The sequence below is a fragment of the Homo sapiens genome, chromosome 19, assembly GCF_000001405.40.
Source record: "Homo sapiens chromosome 19, GRCh38.p14 Primary Assembly".
NCBI classification, from domain to species: domain Eukaryota; kingdom Metazoa; phylum Chordata; class Mammalia; order Primates; family Hominidae; genus Homo; species Homo sapiens.
In genome coordinates this window covers 22,214,748-22,237,314 of record NC_000019.10, presented here as the reverse complement: position 1 = coordinate 22,237,314, position 22,567 = coordinate 22,214,748, and the positions used below count along the sequence as shown (strand labels likewise).

The 22,567-nt window shown below is 39.2% G+C and overlaps 1 protein-coding gene across 10 annotated transcripts in view, besides 1 other annotated feature; it reads left to right on the top strand.

Annotated features, from left to right (window-relative positions):
- The window catches only part of ZNF676 (zinc finger protein 676), an 81,216-nt gene that overhangs the window by 22,990 nt on the left and 35,659 nt on the right, over positions 1-22,567 (top strand). For 2 of the 10 annotated variants that reach the window (XM_047438361.1, XM_047438352.1), the window contains exon 1: positions 21,546-21,683. The exons of the other annotated variants lie outside the window; for them this stretch is intronic. Coding sequence is in view for 1 of the 2 variants with exons in the window: in XM_047438352.1 (XP_047294308.1) it covers positions 21,681-21,683 (3 nt within the window). In the remaining variant the exon portion in view is untranslated. Of the gene's footprint in view, positions 1-21,545; positions 21,684-22,567 lie in introns of those variants that run through there. 10 annotated transcript variants of the gene reach the window in all.
- Positions 20,806-21,021: a silencer, noted in NCBI's record as "fragment chr19:22399096-22399311 (GRCh37/hg19 assembly coordinates)". NCBI's record gives its function as "represses an EF-1alpha promoter that drives an FKBP-Casp9 reporter gene in an ReSE screen in K562 erythroleukemia cells {active_cell/tissue: K562}" and the evidence as "EXISTENCE:reporter gene assay evidence [ECO:0000049][PMID:32094911]".

The following is a 22,567-nucleotide window of genomic DNA, read 5'->3' as shown; positions in this document are numbered from 1 at the left end:
TTTAATGTTGCAGCTTGGGGAGTTAAAAAAGCTTCTAATAGTTTATTTGCTTGGTTAGCTGAAATATGGATTAAAAGATGGCCCCCCTGTGAGTGAGCTGGAAATGCCTGATGCCCCTTGGCTTAATGTAGAGGGAGGAATCAAAAGGCTTAGGCACATTGGGATACTGGAGTGGATTAGTCACTTTAGACCTACTAATTCCAGCATGGAAAGTCCAGAAGATATACCCTTGACCACTGACTTCAAAATAGATTTGTGAAAGCAGCACCTGAATCTTTAAAGAACCTTGTAATTACTTTTCTCTGCATGTCAGATCTAACAGTGGGAACCGTGGTCTCTCAACTACAAAATTTAAATACAGTGGGAATAATTGGATCCCATGATGGCAGGGGCCAAGTGGTGGCACTCAACCATCAAAGGCAAGGTGGGCATAGCTACTGTAATGGACAGCAGAGGCTAAACGGCAATCAGAATAGTCTGACTTCTGTAGAGTTCCAGCATTGGCTGATTCATCACAGTGATCTTAGAAGTAAAATTGATAGGAAACCTACTACATTCCTGCTTAATTTATACAAGCAGAAAACTTCTAGGTCAAATGGAAAAAAGACTAATTTTAAATATAAAAACAGAGAATCATGGCCCCTCAATCAATTTCCAGACTTGAGCCAGTTTACAGACCCAGAACTCCTTGAATAAAGGAGAGGCCAGATTCCCTTGAGGAACGAGCCCACTACACTAATGACAATTTATGCAGTGAATCTTTCTCCCATCTTTCCCCAAGGAGATCTCTGGCCTTTTATGGGGTAACTGTGCATTGGGGAAAGGGAAATGATTGGACATTTTGGGGACTATTAAACACTGGCTCTGAGGTGACATTGATTCCAGGGGACCCAAAACATCACTGTGGTCCTCCAGTTAAAGTAGAGGCTTATGGAGGTCATGTACTTAATAGAAATTTAGCTCAGGTCCAACTTACAGTTGATCAAGTGGGTCCCAAGACTCACTCTGTGGTCATTTCCCCAGTTCCAGAATGCAAAATTGGCATAGACATACTTAGCAGATGGCAGAACTCCTACATTGGCTCCCTGAGTAGTAGGGTGAGGGCTATTAGGGTGGGAAAAGCCAAATGGAAGCCATTAGAGCTGCCTCTACCTGGGAAAATAGTAAATCAAAACCAATATTGCATCCGTGGAGGGATTTCAGAGATTAGTGCCACCATTAAGGACTAAAAAGACGCAAAGGTGGTGATTCCTACCACATCCCCATTCAACTCTTTCATTTGGCAGAAGACAGATGGATTTTGGAGAATGACAGTGGATTATCGTAAGCTTAACCAAGTGATGACTCCAATTGCAGCTGCCATACTAGATGTAGTTTCATTGCTTGAGCAAATTACCACATCTCCTGGTACCTGGTATGCAGACATTGACTTAGCAAATGCCCTTTTCTCTGTTCCTGTCCATAAGGCCCACCAGAAGCAATTTGCTTTCAGCTGGCAAGGCCAGCAATACACCTTTACTGTCCTACCTGATGGATATATTAACTCTCTGGCTTTGTGTCATAATCTTATTCAAAGAGACCTCTATCGCTTTTTGCTTTTGCAAATATCACAGTTGTCCATTGCATTGATGACATTATGCTGATCGAATCCAGTGAGCAAGAAATAGCAAACACACCAGACTTATTCATGAGACATTTGCATGCCAGAGGATGGAAAATAAGTCTGACTAAAATTTAGGGACCTTCTAGCTCAGTAAAATTTCCAGGGGTCCAGTGGTCCAGGGCCTGTCAAGATATTCCTTCTAAGGTAAAAGGTAAGTTGCTGCATTTGGCCCATCCTACAACCAAGAAAGAGGCACAATGTCTAGTGGGCCTATTTGGGTTTTGGAGGCAACCTATTCCTCATTTGGGTGTGTTACTCTGGCCCATTTATTGAGTGACCCAAAAAGCTGCCAGTTCTGAGTGTGGTCCAGAAAAGAAGAAGGCTCTGCAACAGGTCCAGGCTGCTGTGCAAGCTGCTCTGCCACTTGGGCCATATTACCCAGGAGATCCAATGGATCTTGAGGTGTCGGTGAAAAATAAAGATGCTATTTGCAGCCTTTGGCAAGCCTTCTCAGGTGAATCACAGCAGAGGCCTCTAGAGTTTTTTTCTTTCTTTCTTTCCTTCCTTCCTTCCTTCCTTCCTTCCTTCCTGCCTTCCTGCCTTCCTGACTTCCTTCTTCCTGCCTTCCTGCCTTCCTGACTTCCTTCTTCCTGCCTTTCTGCCTTCCTTCTTTTCTTTTCTTTCTTTCTTTCTTTCTTTCTTTCTTTCTTTCTTTCTTTCTTTCTTTCTTTCTTTCTTTCTTTCTTTCTCTTGCTTTCTTTCTTTCTTTCCTTCTTTTTGGATGGAGTCTTGCTCTTGTCATCCAGGCTAGAGTGCAATGGCATTAACTTGCCTCACTGCAACCTCCACCTCCCAGGTTCAAGCAATCTCCTGCCTCAGCCTCCTGAGTAGCTAGGATTACAGGCACCCACCACTACGTCTGGCTAATTTTTGTATATTTAGTAGACTTGGGGTTTCACCATGTTGGCCAGGCTGGTCTCAAACTCCTGACCTCAGGTGATCTGTTTGCCTCGGCTTCCCAAAGTGCTGGGATTACAGGCATGAGCCACTGCACCTGGCAGCCTCTAGGATTTTGGAGCAAAGCCCTGCCATTTTCTGCAGATAACTACTCTCCTTTTGAGAGACAACTCTTGGCCTGTTACTGGGCTTTGGTAAAAACTGAACGTTTGACTATGTTTTATCAAGTCACTATGCGACCTGAACTGCCTATCATGAACTGGGTGCTTTCTGACCCATCTAACCACAAAGTGGGTCATGCACAACAGCATTCCATCATCAAATGGATGTGGTATATATGTGATCGGGCTTGAGCAGGTTCTGAAGGCACAAGTAAGTTACATGAGGAAGTGGCTCAAATGCCCATGGTCTCCATTTCTGCCACCCTGCCTTCTCTCCCCCAGCCTGCACTGATGACCTAATGGGGAGTTCCCTATGATCATTTGACAGAGGAAGAAAAGACTATGGCCTCATTTACAGACGGTTCTGTATAATATGAAGGCACCACCTGAAAGTGGACCCAGCTGTGGCGCTACAGTTCCTTTCTAGGACATCCCTGAAAGACAGTGGTGAAGGGAAGTCTTCCCAGTGGGCAGAATTTTGAGCAGTGCACCTGGTTGTGCACTTTGCATGGAAGGAGGAATGGCCAGATGTGTGATTACATACTGAATCATGGGCTTTAGCCAATGGTTTGACTGGATTGCCAGGGACTTGGAAGAAGCACCATTGAAAAATTGGTGACAAAGAAATTTGGGGAAGAGGTATGTGGATGGACCTCCTGAGTGGTCAAAAACTGTGAAGATATTTGTATCCCATGTGAGTGCTAACCAATGGGTGACCTCAGCAGAGGAGGATTTTGATAATCAAGTGGATAGGATGACCTGTTTTGTTGACATCACTCAGCATCTTTCCCCAGCTACCCCTGTCATTGCCCAATAGGTCCATGAACAAAATGGTCATGGTGGCAGAGACAGAGGTCACAAAGTGACAAAGTGCTGAATGAAATGGTGGTATACTTTGGAGTGACAATTTGGGTCTGCTGAGACCAGAGGTAAATGTTACAGCAGCAGAGAGACTGCAGTACCACAGACAGGGAACAGGTGTAGCAAGTGAAGACTATTAAGAAGAAAGATTAATAAACTTCTTTAACTAAAAAATAAACAACAAATTTCAGACAAGACACATCCTAAGAACATGTTTGAAAGACTCCCAGAATCTCTAGCAAAGACAATTGTTTTCAGACTATGCCAGGACAAAGCTACGTGATAAAGATTGTGACAGGTAGCTTTTTAAAAAATGTCCAAATATCAATCAAAGATTACAATGTATACAAAACAGGGCAATACATTCCCATCCAAAATATTATAAAATTTTCAGAAAAAAAACCTTAAAAAAGAAAATAAATTGGGCCGGGTGAGATGGCTCACACCTGTAATCCCAGCGGTTTGGAAGGCAGCGATGGGTGGATCACTTGAGCCTAGGAGACCAGCGTGGGCAACATGGCGAAACCCGGCCTCTACTAAAAATTTGTAACAATGCTGCAATTATTATGAGCATGTAAATAATTCTTCATATGAATATATATGTTAAATTTTATATATGTGCTGCATTGATTTTTATTAGTCTACATTTTTACTTTTATACTCACACCAAATTGTTTTAATTTTGTAGATTTGTAATGAGTTTTAAAATCAGGAACTGTAATGCCTTTAACATTATTTCTTTTTTTGAAGATTATTGGGTATTTTATTGTCTCATTAGATTCCATATACTTTTAGAGTTGCTGTGTCTATTTCTTCAAAATGTAGTGTGAACTTTTAAAGAACATTGCATTAAATCTGTAGTTTACATTGAACAGTATGGATATCTTCAAAATATTTATCTCAACCTTTGAACAGGAGCATGCTCATAGTGTGTTAATTTCTATATATTTATACTTTTTTCAGGTTTTTTTTTCTATTATTGTTTCATACTGTCACTTCATTTTGGTGATAGAAAGTAATCCATATAAATTTAGTTTTAAAAATTATGTTAAGACTTCTATTTTGGCCTAACAGGTGGTCTATCAAGCAGAATGTTTTATGAGCTGTTGGGAAGGCTGTGTATCCTGATATTGTTGAGGAGTGTTCTCTATACCTCTGTTAGGAATGATTGTTTTATACTTGTCTTCAAGTTCTCTGTTCTCTTACTATTATTCTGTCTGGTTTTATTTTTATTATACAAAATGGGGTATTGAAATATGCTACTGTAGGCTGGATGTGGTGGCTCATGCCTGTATTCCCAGCACTCTGGAAGGACAAGGCAGGCAGATCACAAGGTCAAGAGATCAAGACCATCCTGGCCAACATGGTGAAACCCTGTCTCTACTAAAAATACAAAAATTAGCTGGGGGTGGTAGTGCACGCCTGTTCTCCCAGCTACTCGGGAGGCTGAGGCAGGAGAATCACTTGAACCTGGGAGGTGGAAGTTGCAGTGAGCCAAGATCACACCACTGCACTCCAGCCTGGAGACAGAGCGAGACTCCGTCTAAAAAAAAAAGAAAAGAAAAGAAAAGAAATATGCTATTGTAACTATATTGTTCTCTATGTGTTTCTTCAATTCTGTCAATATTTGATTTATATATTTTGCAAGCCTAATGTGAGATACACATACACACACTTGCACAAAACACACACACACACAGATATACAAATTTGTTATAGGTTCCCAGTAAATAAATCTATTATTTTGTAATGGCTTGTTTTGTCTCTGTAGAGTTTTGACTTAAAAAAACATTTTATAAAATATGACGGTTTTTGACTTAAGATAGAGCTCAAGGCCAGGCGCGGTGGCTCACGCTTGTAATCCCAGCACTTTGGGAGGCTGAGGCGGGTGGATCACAAGGTCAAGAGATCGAGACTATATGGCCAACATGGTGAAAACCCGTCTCAACTGAAAATACAAAAATTAGCTGGCCATGGTGGCACGCGCCTGTAGTCCCAGCTACTTGGGAGGCTGAGGCAGGAGAATCACTTGGACCCAGGAGGCAGAGGTTGCAGTGAGCCAAGATCACACCACTGCACTCCAGCCTGGAAACAGAGCAAGACTCCATCTCAAAATAAATAAATAAATAAAGATACAGCTAAAGTAACATTATTTTGACCTCTTCTGCTCTAATTTAATTAATATTTGCATAGAATATCTACATCCATCTTGCCACTATCAGTCTTTTTTATCATTAGATCTCTGATGACTCTATTATAGAAAGGCAAGTTGCATCTTGGTTTTTAAAATTATCTAATTCCTTTATTAAATGTATGTCTCTGAATTAAGTTCATTTTATATACATGTTTAAATAACTTTCTGAAACAGAAAGACTTAATAATGTTATTTTATTGTTTCATTTGATTGTTGTATCTTTGTCTCTAATTTTCTCTCTGTGTCTTCCTTTGTGTCGTTTTGATTTTTGTACTGATATGCTTTTACTTTTTCCTTATTTTGTTTTGCATATCTATACAGATTTTTTTTTGTGATACCTTGTGGTACTTTGGAAATTACATAAAACTTCTAAAAGATATAACTACATTTTAACCTGGTAGAAGATGAACTTCAGTTGCATACAAAGATTTTACTCTCAAAATTTTCATTGTTTTCTAAATTTTTTTCAAATTATAGAAAATACTTAAAAATGTTTTCTGCACCATTATGATTATGCTAAGAAATTTCATTTTTTTGTATGTGAATATCTATCCAAGAAAATAATCCCCCCTTTTTTTTTTGGCCAGGCACAGTGGCTCATGCCTGTAATCCCAGCACTTTTGGAATCTGAGGTGGGCAGATCAGGAGGTTAGGAGTTCGAGACCAGCCTGGCCAACATGGTGAAACGCCATCTCTCCTAAAAATACAAAAAATTAGCCGGGTGTGGTGGCGGACACCTGTGATCTCAGCTATTTGGGAAGCTGAGGCAGGAGAATCACATGAAACTGGAAGGCAGAGGTGGCAGTGAGCAGAGATCAGGCCACTGCACTCCAGCCTGGGAAACAAGAGTAAAACTCGGCTCAAAAAAATATATATATATACAAATACATATATATGTACACATACATATATATAATATACATACATATATATACACATATATATGCATTCATATATAGATATGATTATGTGTCATTTTCTTGAGTCATTTTATTTTCAATAAAAGAAACTCTTCAGCATTCTTTTTTTTCCTTTTTTATTATTACACTTTAAGTTCTGAGATACATGTGCAGAATGTGCAGGTTTGTTACACAGGTATACACGTGCCATGATGGTTTGCTGAACCCATCAACCCATCATCTACATTAGGTATTTCTTCTAATACTATTCATCTCCTAGCCCCCCACCCGCTGACAGGTCCCAGTGTGTGATGTTCCCCTCCTTGTGTCCATGCATTCTCATTGTTCAACTCCCACTTATGAGTGAGAACATGCAGTGTTTGGTTTTCTGTTCTTGTGTTAGTTTGCTGAGAATTATGGTTTCCAGCTTCATCCATGTCCCTGCAAAGAACATGAACTCATCCTTGTTTATGGCTGCATAGTATTCCGTGGTGTATATGTGCCACATTTTCTTTATCCAGTCTATCACTGATGGGCACTTGGGTTGGTTCCAAGTCTTTGCTATTGTGAATAGTGCTGCAACAAACATACGTGTGCATGTGTCTTTATAGTAGAATGATTTATAATCTTTCGGGTATATACCCAGTAATGGGATTGCTGGGTCAAATGGTATTTCTGATTCTAGATCCTTGAGGAATTGTCACATTGTCTTCCACAATGGTTGAACTGATTTACACTCCCCCCAACAGTGTGAAAGTGTTCCTATTTCTCCTCATCCTCCCCAGCATATGTTGTTTTCTGACTTTTTAATGATTACATTCTAACTGTTGTGAGATGGTATCTCATTGTGATTTTGATTTACATTTCTCTCATGACTAGTGACAGTGAGCTTTTTTTCATATGTTTGTTGGCTGCATAAATGTCTTCTTTTGAGAAGTGTCTGTTCTTATCCTTTGCCCACTTTTTGATGGGGTTGCTTTTCTCTTGTAAATTTGTTTAAGTTCTTTGTAGAGCCTGGATATTAGCCCTTTGTCAGATGGATAGATTGCAAAATTTTTCTCCCATTCCATAGGTTGCCTGTTCACTCTGATGATAGTTTCTTTTGCTGTGCAGAAGCTCTTGAGTTTAATTAGGTCCCATTTGTCAATTTTGGCTTTTGTTGCCATTGCTTTTGCTGTTTTAGTCATGAAGTCTTTGCCCATGCCTATGTCCTGAATAGCATTGCCTAGGTTTTCTTCTAGGGTTTTTATGGTTTGGGGTGTTACATTTAAGTCTTTAATCCATCTTGAGTTAATTTTTGTATATGGTGTAAGGAAGGGGTCCAGTTTCAGTTTTCTGCATATGGCTAGCCAGTTTTCCCAACACCATTTATTAAATTGGGAATCCTTTCCCCATTTCTTGTTTTTTGTCAGGTTTGTCAAAGATCAGATGGTTGTAGATGTGTGGTGTTATTTCTGAGGCCTCTGTTCTGTTCCATTGGTCTATATATCTGTTTTGATACCAATACCATGCTGTTTTGGTTACTGTAGCCTTTTACAATAGTTTGAAGTCAGGTACTGTAATGTCTCCAGCTTTGTTCTTTTTGTTTAGGATTGTCTTGGCAATGTGGACTCTTTTTTGGTTCCATATGAAATTTAAAGTAGTTTTTTCCAATGCTGTGAAGTCATTGGTAGCTTCATGGGGATGGCATTGGGTCTATAAATTACCTTAGGCAGTATGGCCATTTTCATGATATTGATTCTTCCTATCATGAGCATGGAATGTTCTTCCATTTGTTTGTGTCCTCTTCTATTTCATTGAGCTGTGGTTTGTAGCTCTCCTTGAAAAGGTCCTTCACATCCCTTGGAAGTTGTATTCCTAGTTATTTTATTCTCTTTGTAGCAATTGTGAATGGGAGCTCAGTCATGATTTGGCTCTCTGTTGGTCTGTTATTGGTGTATAGGAATGCTTGTGATTTTTGCACATTGATTTTGTATCCTGAGACTTTGCTGAAGTTGCTTATCAGCTTAAGGAGATTTGGGGCGGAGATGATGGAGTTTTCTCAACATACAATCATGTCATCTGCAAACAGAGACAATTTGACTTCCTCTTTTCCTATTTGAATACTCATTATTTCTTTCTCTTGCCTGATTGTCCTGGCCAGAACTTCCAATACTATGTTGAATAGGAATGGTGAGAGAGGGCATCCTTGTCTTGTGCCAGTTTTCAAAGGGAATGCTTCCAGGTTTTGCCCATTCAGTATGACATTAACTGTGGTCTGTCATAAATAGCTTTTATTATTTTGAGATATGTTCCATCAATACTTAGTTTATTGAGAGTTTTTAGCATGAATGGGGTGTTGAATTTTGTTGAAGGCCTTTTCTGCATCTATTGAGATAATCACGTGGTTTTTGTCATGGGTTCTGTTTATGTGATGGATTACGTTTATTGATTTGTGTATGTTGAACCAGCCATGCATCCCAGGGATGAAGCTGACTGGATCATGGTGGATAAGCTTTTTGATGTGCTGCTGGATTCAGTTTGCCAGTATTTTATTGAGGATTTTCACATCAATGTTCATCAGGGATATTGGCCTGAAGTTTTCTTTTTTTGTTGTGTCTCTGCCAGCTTTGGTATCAGGATGATGCTGGCCCAAAATGAGCTAGGGAGGAGTCCCTCTTTCTCTATTGTTTGGAATAATTTCAGAAGAATTGGTACCAGCTCCTCTTTGTACCTGTGGTAGAATATGGCTGTGAATCTGTCTGGTCCCAGGTATTTTTTGGTTGGTAGGCTATTAATTACTGCCTCAATTTCAAAACTTGTTATTGGTCTATTCAGGGATTTGACTTCTTCCTGGTTTAGTCTTCAGAGGGTATGTGTCCAGGAATTTATCCATTTCTTCTAGATTATCTAGTTTTTTACATTGAGGTGTTTACAGTATTATCTGATGGTAGTTTGTATTTCTGTGGGATCAGTGCCAATACCCTCTTGATTATTTTTTATTGCATCTATTTGATTCCTCTCTCTTTTCTTCTTTATTAGTCTGGCTAGCAGTCTATCTATTTTGTAGATCTTTTCAAAAAACCAGCTCCTGGAATCATTAATTTTTTGAAGGGTGTTTTGTGTCTCTATCTCCTTCAGTTCTGCTCTAATCTTAGTTATTTCTTGTCTTCTGCCAGCATTTGAATTTGTTTGCTCTTGCTTCTCTAGTTCTGTTAATTGTGATTTTAGGATGTTGATTTTAGACCTTTCCTGCTTTCTCTTGTGAGCATTTAGTGCTATAAGTTTCCCTCTAAGCACTGCTTTGTCTGTGACCCAGAGATTCTGGTACATTGTGTCATCATTCTTATTGGTTTCAAAGAACTTACTTATTTCTGCCTTCATTTCATTATTTCCCCAGTAGTCATTCTGGAGCATGTTGTTCTGTTTCCATGTAGTTGAGTGGTTTTGAGTGAGTTACTTATCCAGAGTTTTAATTTGATTGCACTGTGGTATGAGAGACTGTTTGTTATGATTTCCATTCTTTTGCATTTGCTGATGAGTGTTTTACTTCCAATTATGTGGTCAATTTTAGAATAAGTGGGATGCTTTTCAGCATTCTTTATAGGGCATATGCAGTGCCAGTATGCTCTTTCAAAATTTGGTTATTTTGAAAGGTTTTCCTCTTTTCATTTGGCAGGACAGATTTGCTGATGCTATTATTTGAACCTAAGGTAAAAGTAAAACAGGAAAATCCAAAAGTATATAAAAATTAAACACATGAGCTGGGTGCAGTGGCTCACCTCTGTAACCCGAGAACTTTGGGAGGCCGAGGCAGGTGGATTGCCTGACATCAAGAGTTTGAGACCAGCCAGACCAACATGGTGAAACCTCGTCTCTACTAAAAATACAAAAAAATGAGCCAGGCATGGTGGTGAGTGCCTGTAATCCCAACTATTCAGGAGGCTGAGGCAGGAGAATCACTTGAACCCAGAAGGTGGAGGTTGTGTTGAATTGAGATTGTGCCACTGCACTCCTGCCTGGATGACAGAGTGAGACTCTGTCTCAAAGGAAAAAAAAAAAGCAAGATCCCTTCTCTCTCTAAATAAAATAAATAAATAAATAAAATAAAAATAAAACACTCTTTAACATATTCTTGCTCAAGAGTCAAAAAATTTAATTTTTTAAGATGTCAGTACAACCTACAGTGGTAAACAAATTTGACGTAATTTCTATAAAATTCCTAATAGCACAGGATTTTTAAACAGAAATATTATTTAACATTTTAAAATTTGATTATTAACTATAACTAGCCAAACACCCATGAAATAGAGGAGGTAATAAACTTTCCCATTTCAAAACATATTAAAAGCTATAATGAAAACAATATAGTACTGACACAAAGACAGATAAACAGATGATAAATCAGAATAGAGAGCCCAGAAATGAACCCTTCTGTAAATAATGATCTTCCACAAAGCTGCCATGAGCACACAATAGAGAAAAGATAATATCTTCAAAAATTAATGCTGAAAACTGAATATCTATACTGATAAAGCTGGATTCTTTCCTTGAACCATAGACAAAAAAATTTATATAAAATACTTAGATATAAAAAATAGCTAATAAGTGTCTTAAAAAAACATGGAGAAAAGACATGACATTGGCCTTGGAATCATTTTCTTAGATGACATTAAACGCATAAGCAACAATGAAAAGAACAGAAAAATTTAACTGAAATATACTTCAAAATTTTTGCACATCAAAAAAAACTTCAAGAGAGTGACAATGCCACTTAGGAAATCAATGAAAATATTTGCAAATCACATGTGATAGAAGTTAATATTCAGAATATATAAGCAACTCTTAAAACTGAACAATAAAGTTGAATAACAGGATTTAGAAATGGAAAACTAATTAAACTAAATTTTTATCAAAAGCATAAATGGGAAGAGCATTTGACAGGACTCACAAAATTACTAATTTGTAGAGGAATGCATAAATATCACAGTGAAATACAAAATAACCTGACACCCATTGGAACGGCCACTATCAATTTTTTAAGAAAACCAGATCTATTGGTGATGCTATGAAAATGAAACCTATGCTGATTGTTGGTGGAAAACAAAGATGCAGCCATTATTTTAAAATGTTATAAATGTTCCTCAGATAATTAAAAATAAAATTGTAATCAATTACAACAATCTTATTTATAAATTGATTTCCAAAGTATGCAACACAGAACCTGGAGGAGACATGTAAACATTTATGCTTATTGTACCAGATTTCACAAAAGCCAAAAGGCTGAAGTAATCTATATGTCCCTTGATTTATAAATACATCAAAAAATTTAACATACACATACATGGAATATCATTCAGCCTTAAAAGAGAAAATTTTGTCACATTTTAAGATAAACTTTGAAAATACTATGTCACATGAAATAAACCAGTAACAAAATGATGAATACTACATTACTTCATTTACCTGAGATAAGTTAAATAGCCAAACTCATAAAAACAGAAAGCTGAAAGATATTTGCCAAGGGCTGGAGAGAGGGTAAAATGGGCAGTTGTTACTTAGTGGGTATTGAGTATTAGTTTTACAAGATGTAAAACCTCTAGAAGCCTTTTGCATAACCAGGTGAATATACTTTAACATGCCTGAAATCCACAGCTTTTTTTTTTGACAGAGGGTCTCACTTTGTCACCCAAACTGGTGTGTAGTGGCAAAATTATGGCTCACTTCAGCCTCAAACTCCCAGGATAAAGTACTCCTTTTCCCTTGATCTCCCAGGTTGCTGGAACCACAGGTGCACACCACCATGGCTTGTTATTTTAAAATTTTTTTGGATACAGCAGGTCTTTATATGTTTCCCAGGCTGATCTCAAACATTTGGGCTCAGGTGATCCTTCTGTTTTGACCTCTCGAATTTCTGGGATCACAGAGGTGAGCCACTACCATGCCTGGCCATAAAATGTACACTTAAATAGATTTTAGAGAATCAATTTTATGTTATCTGTTTTTACAAAAATTATTTTAGAAGAAAAACTAAATGAAGAATTATAAATCTTTTCTAGAATTACCTTCAAATCACAAAAGTGTTTCTCTCACACAAAGAAAATATATATTCATTATTAAACACAAGGCAAAAATAAGATTATTTCCACAACTACTCACTTAGACAAGATAAAACAACCACTGAAAATCAGCTAAGAAAGAATATATACAAGATAAGCCATAACCATAATTGGAGTCATATTTATAGATAAAAACACACAAATATATAATCTGATTGTGATAGACATATGGCTAATTTATTTCTCAATTAAACCCCACATTGACTTAAAGTGTACAAACAGAATTGCAAATTGTCTAGAATTATAATACGTAAAACAAAAAAAATTCACTGATATTAAGAAACTGACGCTAAAAAGCACACATATAGAACTGCAAAATAATAATAACAGAAATGTTTACTCATCAGATCTAGTATGCAACATTGATGTACCATTACAAAAATTTGTCTAGATAACTACAATATTTGACTGTGTCTGTGTACTCATGGAAGGCAGGTATTTTGAGTCATCGGCATGCACTGCATGGCAGTAAAACTTAAGAGAAATTGCAGTATAATCATAAATAGAAGATTCTAATGATAAGCTTTTAATAAATAAGCACTAAAGAAAACTAGAGGTAAATTTCATCGTTATATATGCTGTTCTTACACAATATATGCTACATATATTCTTAAAGAATATGTGCTATTCTTACACAAAATGAAACTGCTGTAATTTAACTTTAGAAGCAAAGAATAGTCTTACTTTGTTAAATTAAAAAAAAAGTCTGCAGAATATAATTAAAGCCTCTGATATATAAAACAATTATCAGGGAAGAACTTATTTTATTATTTAAATATAGGCTGAAGAAAGTGAATGGAAATCATATAATTCCTTTCTGCCTGCAGCAAACTTAAATTTATAACTAAATATTTTAGTAAATAAGGAATGCCTACTAATAATCTAATTTATTTCAGGCATAACATGTAAATTCTAACATATTATCCTAAATGTCTGAATCTAAAATAACAGAGAAATTTGAAATAGGAAATACAAAGTAAAAATGTATAGGGAGAGCGACATCAGTAAAATTTAAAAAAAAAAAAAAGGTGACCTATTTTCTTATCCCCCGACAGCAAGAAAACTGTGAGCCAGCCCTGACAAAAATGTGTTTATGAGAGATCCAGGCATCCTGGCTCATATCTGTAATGATAGCTACATAAAACATTCAGGTTGAAGAATTTCTTCAGGCCAAGATTTCAAGACCAGCCTGTGTTATGTAGAAAGACTTCATCTCTAAAACAAGTACCTTCAAAAGAGCTTTGAGATCCAGGGACGGAGTTGTGAAACTCTGCTAAAGCCCAAGATTGAGGAACATTCTTTTCAGGAGACAGGCTTCCACTAAGGTGGCAAACTACAGGATTTCTGTTCTTGGCCACAACCCAAAAAATAGCCAACTCAACTTGCTCCCACTGAGAATTCTGAACTTATCCTATAACCATTCCAAACTCCTCCCAGCCACAGCCTGGGAGAGCTTCTGCCCTTCCAGAGGCCTGGAGGAAGACACCCATTTGTAGCCATACAGTTTAATGTTTTAGTTCTAACTCCAATCCACAGTTTATGGCCAATTCTGCCTAGGTAGAATCCCACACAGTGACCTGGGAAGACCCTCTCTAGTACTTGGTGAAAGGCATCCTCATCCACATCCTGATGTAAGCCCCACCATATGCAGATCTGACTGCAACAACTTCCCCTAGTGTCTGCTCTACAGATGAAAGTCCTGAAGGATATTCAATCTGTTCAATAATAAAATGGGAATTACAACTACCCAAGCCTTTTGTAACAAGCCAACTAAAGGTAAATCCTATGCAGACGCAGCTGCTTTGCTGCGTTTACCACCTCTCTCTATTACAAATAAAGAGGGCATCCTATAAATATGGGGGCCCAACAGAAGAAGATTTTTACCCCTTGTAACCAGTTTATATAAACTTGAACAGGCTTTTGCTCCACGAAATTTACAAAAACCAATGCAATGCAAAACTATATTGTCCCCATTGTCAATGCTTCTACTTTAACATAAACCTGGAAGTACATGGCAGAAGAACTAGGCAAAAAAATTGTTTAAAGCCATTGAAATTGAAGACAAATAAATAAAAAGTTGCTGTTTGCAAATCATTTAATCTTATATATTAAAAAAAACATAAACAGTACATTTAAGGCCAGGCACAGTGGCTCACACCTGTAATCCCAGCACTCTGGGAGGCCGAGGCAGGCAGATCACCTGAGGTCAGGAGTTTGAAACCAGCCTGGCCAATATGGTGAAACCTTGTTTCTACTAAAAAACACAAAAATTAGCCATGCGTGGTGGCAGGTGCCTGCAGTCCCAGCTACTCGGGAGTCTGAGGCAGGAGAATCACTTGAGCCAGGAGGTGGAGGTTGCAAGTGAGCCAAGATCACACCACTGCACTCCAGCTTGGGCGACAGAGTGAGACTCCATCTCAAAGAAAAAAAAAATATATTTTAGCCTAAAATGTTAGTTCTGTGCTTCAGAAGTATAAATTTTCTTGTTTCACCTAAGTTGTCCCTTAAGAAATGCAATGAGAGAGACAACAACATAAAAATATTGGGGGACTTTTTTACTTTACTTACAGCATTAGACATATCATCAAGACAGAAAGTCAAATGAACAAACAAACAAACAAACAAAAAACAATGGTCTTAAACTACACCTTAGAACAAATGGACTTAACAGAGATTTACAGAATATTCTACCCAACAACTGCAGAATATACATTCTTTTCATCAGCACATAAAACATTCTTCAAGATAGACCATATAATAGGCCAAAAGACAAGTCTGATGTTTTTTTTTTTTGTGACAGTCTTGCTCTGTCACCAAGGCTGGAGTGCAATGGTGCAATCTCAGCTCACAGCAACCTCTGCCTCCCAAGTTCAAGGGATTCTCCTACCTCAGCCTTCTGAGTAGCTGGGATTACAGCCACGTGCCACCATGCCTGCCTAATTTTTGTATTTTTAGTAGCGATGGGGTTTCACCATGTTGACCAGGCTGGTTTTGAACTCCTGACCTCAGGTTATCCACCTGCCTTGGCATCCCAAAGTGCTGGGATTAAAGCATGAGCCACCATGCCCAGCCCCTGAATAAATTTAAGAATATTAAAATTATATCAAGTACTGTCTTAGGCCACAGTGGAATAAAATTAGAAATCAATTCAAATAGGAACACTCAAAACCATACAAATACATGAAAATTAAATAAACTGCTCATGAATAATTGGTTCCACAATGAAATCAAGATGGAAATTAAATAATTATTTAAATTGAATAATAGTGACACAACATATTAAAACATCTGGGATACAGCAAAAGCAGTGCTAAGAGGAAAGTTCATAGCATTAAATACATACATCAAAAAGTTCAAAAAACCACAATAAACAACCTGAGATTGTTTAGCCTCAAGGAACAAGAGAAACAAGAACAAACCAAACCCAAACCCAGCAGGAAAAAAAAATAATAACAAAGATCAGAGAAGAACTAAATAAATTTGAAATTTTAAAAAATATAAAAGATAAAACAATAAGCTAGTTATTTGAAAAGATAAATCCAACTGATAGACTATTAGTAAGATTAACCCAGAAAAGCAGAAAGAAGATCCAAATATGCTCAATTAGAAATAAAAGATCATTCAAAGCTGCTACGAATACCTTTACATGCTCAAACTTGAAAACCTAGAGGAGTTTGATAAATTCCTGGAAATATACAACCCTCCTAGATTAAATCAGGAAGAAATAAAAACTCTGAACACACCAATAACAAGTAGCAAGATTAAACTAGTAATAAAACATTGCCAGCTGGGTTCAGTGGCTCATGCCTGTAATCCTAGCACTTTGGTAGGACGAGGTGGGGGGATCACTTGAGGTCAGGTGTTTGAGACCAGTCTGATCAACATGGCAAAACCCCATCTCTACTAAAAATACAAAAATTAGCCAGGTATGGTGGTTTGTGCCTGTAATCCCAGCTACTTGGGAGGCTTAGGCAGGAGAATCACTTAAACCCAGGAGGCAAGTTTGCAGTGAGTCAACATCGCACCACTGCACTCCAGCCTGGGTGACAGCGCAAGACTCAAGAAAAAAAAAAAAAAAAACTGCCAACAAAAAACGTCCAGGACAAGATGGATTCATAGCTCAATTCTATCCAAAATTCAAAGAATTGGTACCAGTCCTACTGAAACTATTCCAAAAGATAGAGAAAAAGGGAATCCTTCCTAAATTATTCTATGAAGCCAGTATCACTCTAATACCAAGATCATGAAAAGACATAATAAAAGAAAACTACACACCAATGTTCCTGATGAGCATAAATGCAAAAATCTTCCATAAAATACTAGCTAACCAAACACAGCAACATATTAATAAGATAGTACACCATAATCAAGAACATTTTATGCCAGGGATGCAGAGATGATTTAACATAGGTAAGTCAATACATGTTATACACCAAATAAACAGAATTAAAACCAAAAATTATATGATTATCTCAATATATGCAGAAAAATCATTTGGCAAAATCCAGCATCACTTTATGATTAAAATCCTCAGCAAAATCGGGATAGAGGGAACATATTGTAAGGTCATAAAAACCATCTATGACAGGCTGGGCGTGGTGGCTCATGCCTGTAATCCCAGCACTTTGGGAGGCTGAGGTGGGCAGATCACTTGAGGTCAGGAGTTTGAGATCAGCTTGGCCAACATGGTGAAACCTCGTCTGTTCAAAAATACAAAAATTAGCCAGGCATGATGGTGGGTGCCTGTGGTGCCAGCTACTGGGGAGGCTGAGGCGGGAGAATCGCTTGAGTCTGGGAGGTGGAGATTGCAGTGAGCAGAGATCCTGACATTGCACTCCAGCCTGGGTGACAGAGCGAGACTCCGTCCGAGAAAAAAAAAAAATCTATCTGTGATAAACAGCCAACATTACACTGAACAGGAAAAAGTTGAAAGGATTTTTTCTGAGAACTGGAACAAGACAATAATGCCCACTCTCACCACTTCTATTCAACACAGTAATGGATGTCTTAGCCAAAGCAATCAGAGTAAAGCAAAAAATAAACAGAATCTAAATTGGTAAAGAGGAAGTCAAATTGTCACTGTTTACCAATGATATAATTGTGTACCTGGGAAACCCTAAAACTCAACTAAAAAAGCTTTTAGGGCTGGATGCAGTGGCTCAAGCCTGTAATCCCAGCACTTTGGGACATGGAGGCAGGTGGATCACTTGAGGTCAGGAGTTCAAGACCAGCCTGGCCAACATGGTAAAACCCCATCTCTACTAAGAATACAAAAATTAGCCGGTTGCAGTGGCAAGTGGCTGTAATCCCAGCTACAAGGGAGGCTGAGACAGGAGAATCACTTGAACCTGGGATGCAGAGGGTGCAGTGAGCCAAGATCATGCCACTGCACTCCAGCCTGGGTGACAGAGTAAGACCTTGTCTCAAAAAGAAAAAAAAACAAAACAAAAAACTTTTCGATCTGATACATAAATGCAGTAAAATTTCAGGATACCAAAAAAAAAAAAATCCTAAAACTAAAAAAAAAAAATCCTAAAATTTATATAAAATAAAAAGAGAGCCTCCATAGTCAAAGCAAGACTAGGAAAACAAAACAAAACAAAACAAAACAACAAAATCAAAAACACACAAAAAAATCTGAAGACATCACGTTATCTGACTTCAAACTATACTACAAGGTTATAGTTACCAAAACAGCATTGTATGGGTATAAAAATAGATATGAAGACCAATGAAACAGAATAGTGAAACCAGAAATAAACCCAAATACTTACAGTCAACTGATCTTTGACAAAGTAAACAAAGATATGAAGTGGGGAAATAACACCCTATTCTATTGAATAGAATGGTACTGGGATAATTGGGAAGCCACATATTGAAGAATAAAACTGGATCTTCGGCTGAGTGCAGTGGCTTATACCTGTAATCCCAGCACTTTGGGAGGTCAAGGTGGGTGGATCACGAGGTCAGGAGTTCAAAACCAGCCTGGCCAAGATGGTGAAACCCCGTCTCTACTAAAAATACAAAAAAAAAAAAAAAAATTTAGCTGGGTGTGGTGGCAGGTGCCTGTAATCCCAGCTACTTGGGAGGCTGAGGCAGAGAATTGCTTGAACCCGGGAGGCAGAGGTTGTAGTGAGCCGAGATCATGACACTGTACTCCAGCCTGGGAACAGAGCGAGACTCCGTCTCAAAAAAATAAAAATAAAAAAAAAGTATCTTCATCTCTCACCTTATACAAAAATCAACTCAAGATGGATCAAATACTTTAATCTAAGACCTGAAACTACCCGAATTCTAAAGCATTGAAAAAACTCTCCTAGGCATTGACTTAGGCAAAGAGTGCATGACCAAGAACCTCAAAGCAAATGCAACAAAAACAAAGACAGATGGGACTTAAACAATTCTCAAAAGAAGATATACAAATGGCCAACAAACATTAAAAAAAAATGCTGAACATCACTAATGATTAATGATTAGGGAAATACAAATCAAAACCACAATGTGATATCACCTTACTCTTGCAAGAATGACCATCATTGGCCGGGCATGGTGGCTCATGCCTGTAATCCCAGCACTCTGGGAGACCAAGACGGGTGGATCACCTGAGGTCAGGAGTTCCAGACTAGCCTGGCCAACATGGTAAAACCTCACCTCTACTAAAAATACAAAAATTAGCAGGGCGCGATGGAGTGTGTCCGTAATCCCTGCTACTCCAGAGGCTGAGGCTGGAGAATCGCTTGAACCCGGGAGGTGGAGGTTGCAGTAAGCCAAGATCGCACCACTGCAGTCCAGTCTGTGTGACAGACTCCATGTCAAAAACAAACAAACAAACAAACAAACAAACAAACAGAAAAGACCATAATTAAAACATCAAAAAATAGGCCAGGCACGGTGGCTTATGCCTGTAATCACAGCAAACTCCATCTCAAAAAAAAAAAAGGAAAAAAGAACTAGGGGATACAAACCCAAATATTGTATTTCCTCACTTATAAACGGGAGCTAAGCTATGAAGATGCAAAGGCATAACAATTATGTAATGGGGATGGGCACGGTGGCTCACGCCTGTAATCCCAGCACTTTGGGAGGCTGAGGTGGGCGATCACCTGAGGTTGGGAGTTCGAGACAAGCCTGACCAACATGGAGAAACCCTGTCTCTACTAAAACTACAAAATTAGCCAGGCATGGTGGCACATGCCTATAATCCCAGATACTCGGGAAGGCTGAGGCAGGAGCATCGCTTGAACCTGGGAGGCAGAGGTTGCGGTGAGCTGAGATCGCGCCACTGTACTCCGGCCTGGGCAATAAGAGCGAAACTCTGTCTCAATAAATAAATATAATTAAAAAAAAGAATTATATAGTGGACTCTGGGCACTCAGTGGGAAGGGTAGGAGAGGGGGTGAGGGATGAAAGACTACACATTGGGTAGAGTGCACACTGCTTGGGAGATTGGTGCACCTAAATCTCAGAAAAGATTTAGGAACTTATCCATGTAACCAAATACTACATGTACCCCAAAACTATTGAAATATAATAATTTAAGACAAAAATAAAAACCTCCAAACTCCCATAAGTTTAAGTTTATATGTTTTGGCTTTTTTTTTTTTTTTAGAAAGAGTCTCACTCTTGTCACCCAGAATGGAGTGCAGTGGCTTGATCAGGGCTCACTGCAGCCACAACCTCCTGGGCTCAGGCAATCCTCCTACTTTAGCCCCCGAATAGCTGGTACTACAGGGTGAGGCTACCATGCTAAATTAGCTGGGTGTGGTGGTGGGCGCCTGTAATCCCAGCTACTCGGGAGGCTGAGGCAGGAGAATCGCTTGAACCCAGAGAGGGAGGTTGCAGTGAGCTGAGATCATGCCATTGCACTCTAGCCTGGCAAGACTCGTCTCAAAAAACAGCTTAAGGTTGTTTCAAGTTAAAAAAAAAGGCTATTAAAATAAAATAGAAAAAGTTAAATATGAGATTGTAAAATATATATGAACATCTAGAGTGTTCAAAAATGACAAATTTCATGGATTTATTTATAAGGTTTTACTAACATTAGGTTTAGCTTTTTTGTTGTTTTGTTTTTTGAGATGGCGTTTCACTCTTGTTGCCCATGTTTTTGAGCTGGCGTTTCACTCTTGTTGCCCAGGCCGCAGTGCAATGGCTTGATCCTGGCTCACTGCAATCTCCACCTCCCGGGTTCAAATGATTCTCCTGCCTCAGCCTCCTGAATAGCTGGGATTACAGGCGCCCACCACCACACCTGACTAATGTTCGTATTTTTAGTAGAGAAGGGGTTTCACCATGTCAACCAGGCTGATCTTGAACTTCTGACCTCCGGTGATCCACCCGCCTCGGCCTCCCAAACTGATGGGATTAAAGGCGTAAGCCACTGCACCCAGCCTTTAGTATTGATAATACACTATTACTAAAGTAAAAATTGATTTACTCTTGTACAAAAGTTTTATGTATTATTAACATGACAGTAAAATATATTTGTTCACATTTCAAATACATTTAAAAAGAGAGAATAAAGAAGAGATAGAATTTTCCCATGCTCTGGGGTAGGCCTGGCTCAGCTCAGGGAGGAAGCCCTGCCTGAAAAGGCTGCAGCCTACGTTGGCTCTCTTTCTTCATTCAGCCCAGCATCTGATCACATCTTCTGTCACTCAGGGCCTGAAAGGGCGGGGCCTTAAACATTATCCAATCAGGGATGCTGGGCTGGGAATGTCCAATCAGGCAGGCAGCTGGGGGGGGGGACAGGTCGGCTTCCGGGATGTGGTCGGTCCTTTGTCTCTCGCTGCAGCCGGAGGTAAAGGCCTTGTCCTTACTGTTCCTAGAGTCCCAGCCTCTGTGGCCCTATGACCTGCAGGTATTGGGAGATCCACAACTAAGTCGCCAGGACCCCCTGGAAGCCTAGAAATGGTGAGTGTGCCGGGTCCGACACACTGAGAGAGTGGCCTGGGCTGGTTGGAACCGGCGGGAAGTGGCTGTGGCGGGACTCAAGCCTACCCGCAGTCAGCTCCACAAGTTCTCCTTGCCTAGCTCGACCTCAGTCCCCTTCAGCCATAAGATGGCGGCTGCGCGGGCCGCCGGGCGTCCTGTCTCTTCCCTGCGCTGTGATTGTGCCCTGGCCTGGAGCCCTCTTGGGGCAGCTCTGCACCCTCAGCGCGGAGTCTCTCCCAGATTGTGCACGGACTGTGGGAGGGTAGTCAGAGGAGAATCCTGACTTGAGGTGTGGGTTCATGAATGGGAAGAGCTTTGGTCCGTGAGGCTCCCAGTTCCTGTATTCTCCCATTAAAAATTTATGGAAGTCGCCGAAAAAATATTAAATAATTTAAGAGTGATTCCAAAATTGTAGAGCACCCAACTATGGATTGTAGTTTATGGTCTATTGAAGGGGTTTGATGGAAAGAGTTTTATAAGGTGCATAATGAAGAAAACCACATTCAATAATTGGTTAGGTACAGTTATGTAGTTTCCTGGTTTTTTGTTGTTTTTTTTTTTTTTTTTTTTGAGATGGAGTCTCGCTCTGTCGCCCAGGCTGGAGTGCAGTAGCGGAATCTTGGCTCACTGGAAGCTCCGCCTCCCGGGTTCACGCCATTCTCCTGCCTCAGCCTCCCGAGTAGCTGCGACTGCAGGTGCCCGCCAACACCCCCGGCTAATTTTTTGGTATTTTTTAGTAGAGACGGAGTTTCACCGTGTTAGTCAGGGTAGTCTCGATCTCCTGACCTCATGATCCACCCGCCTCAGCCTCCCAAAGTGCTGGGATTATAGGTGTGAGTCATGGCGCCCAGCCTCATGGTTTC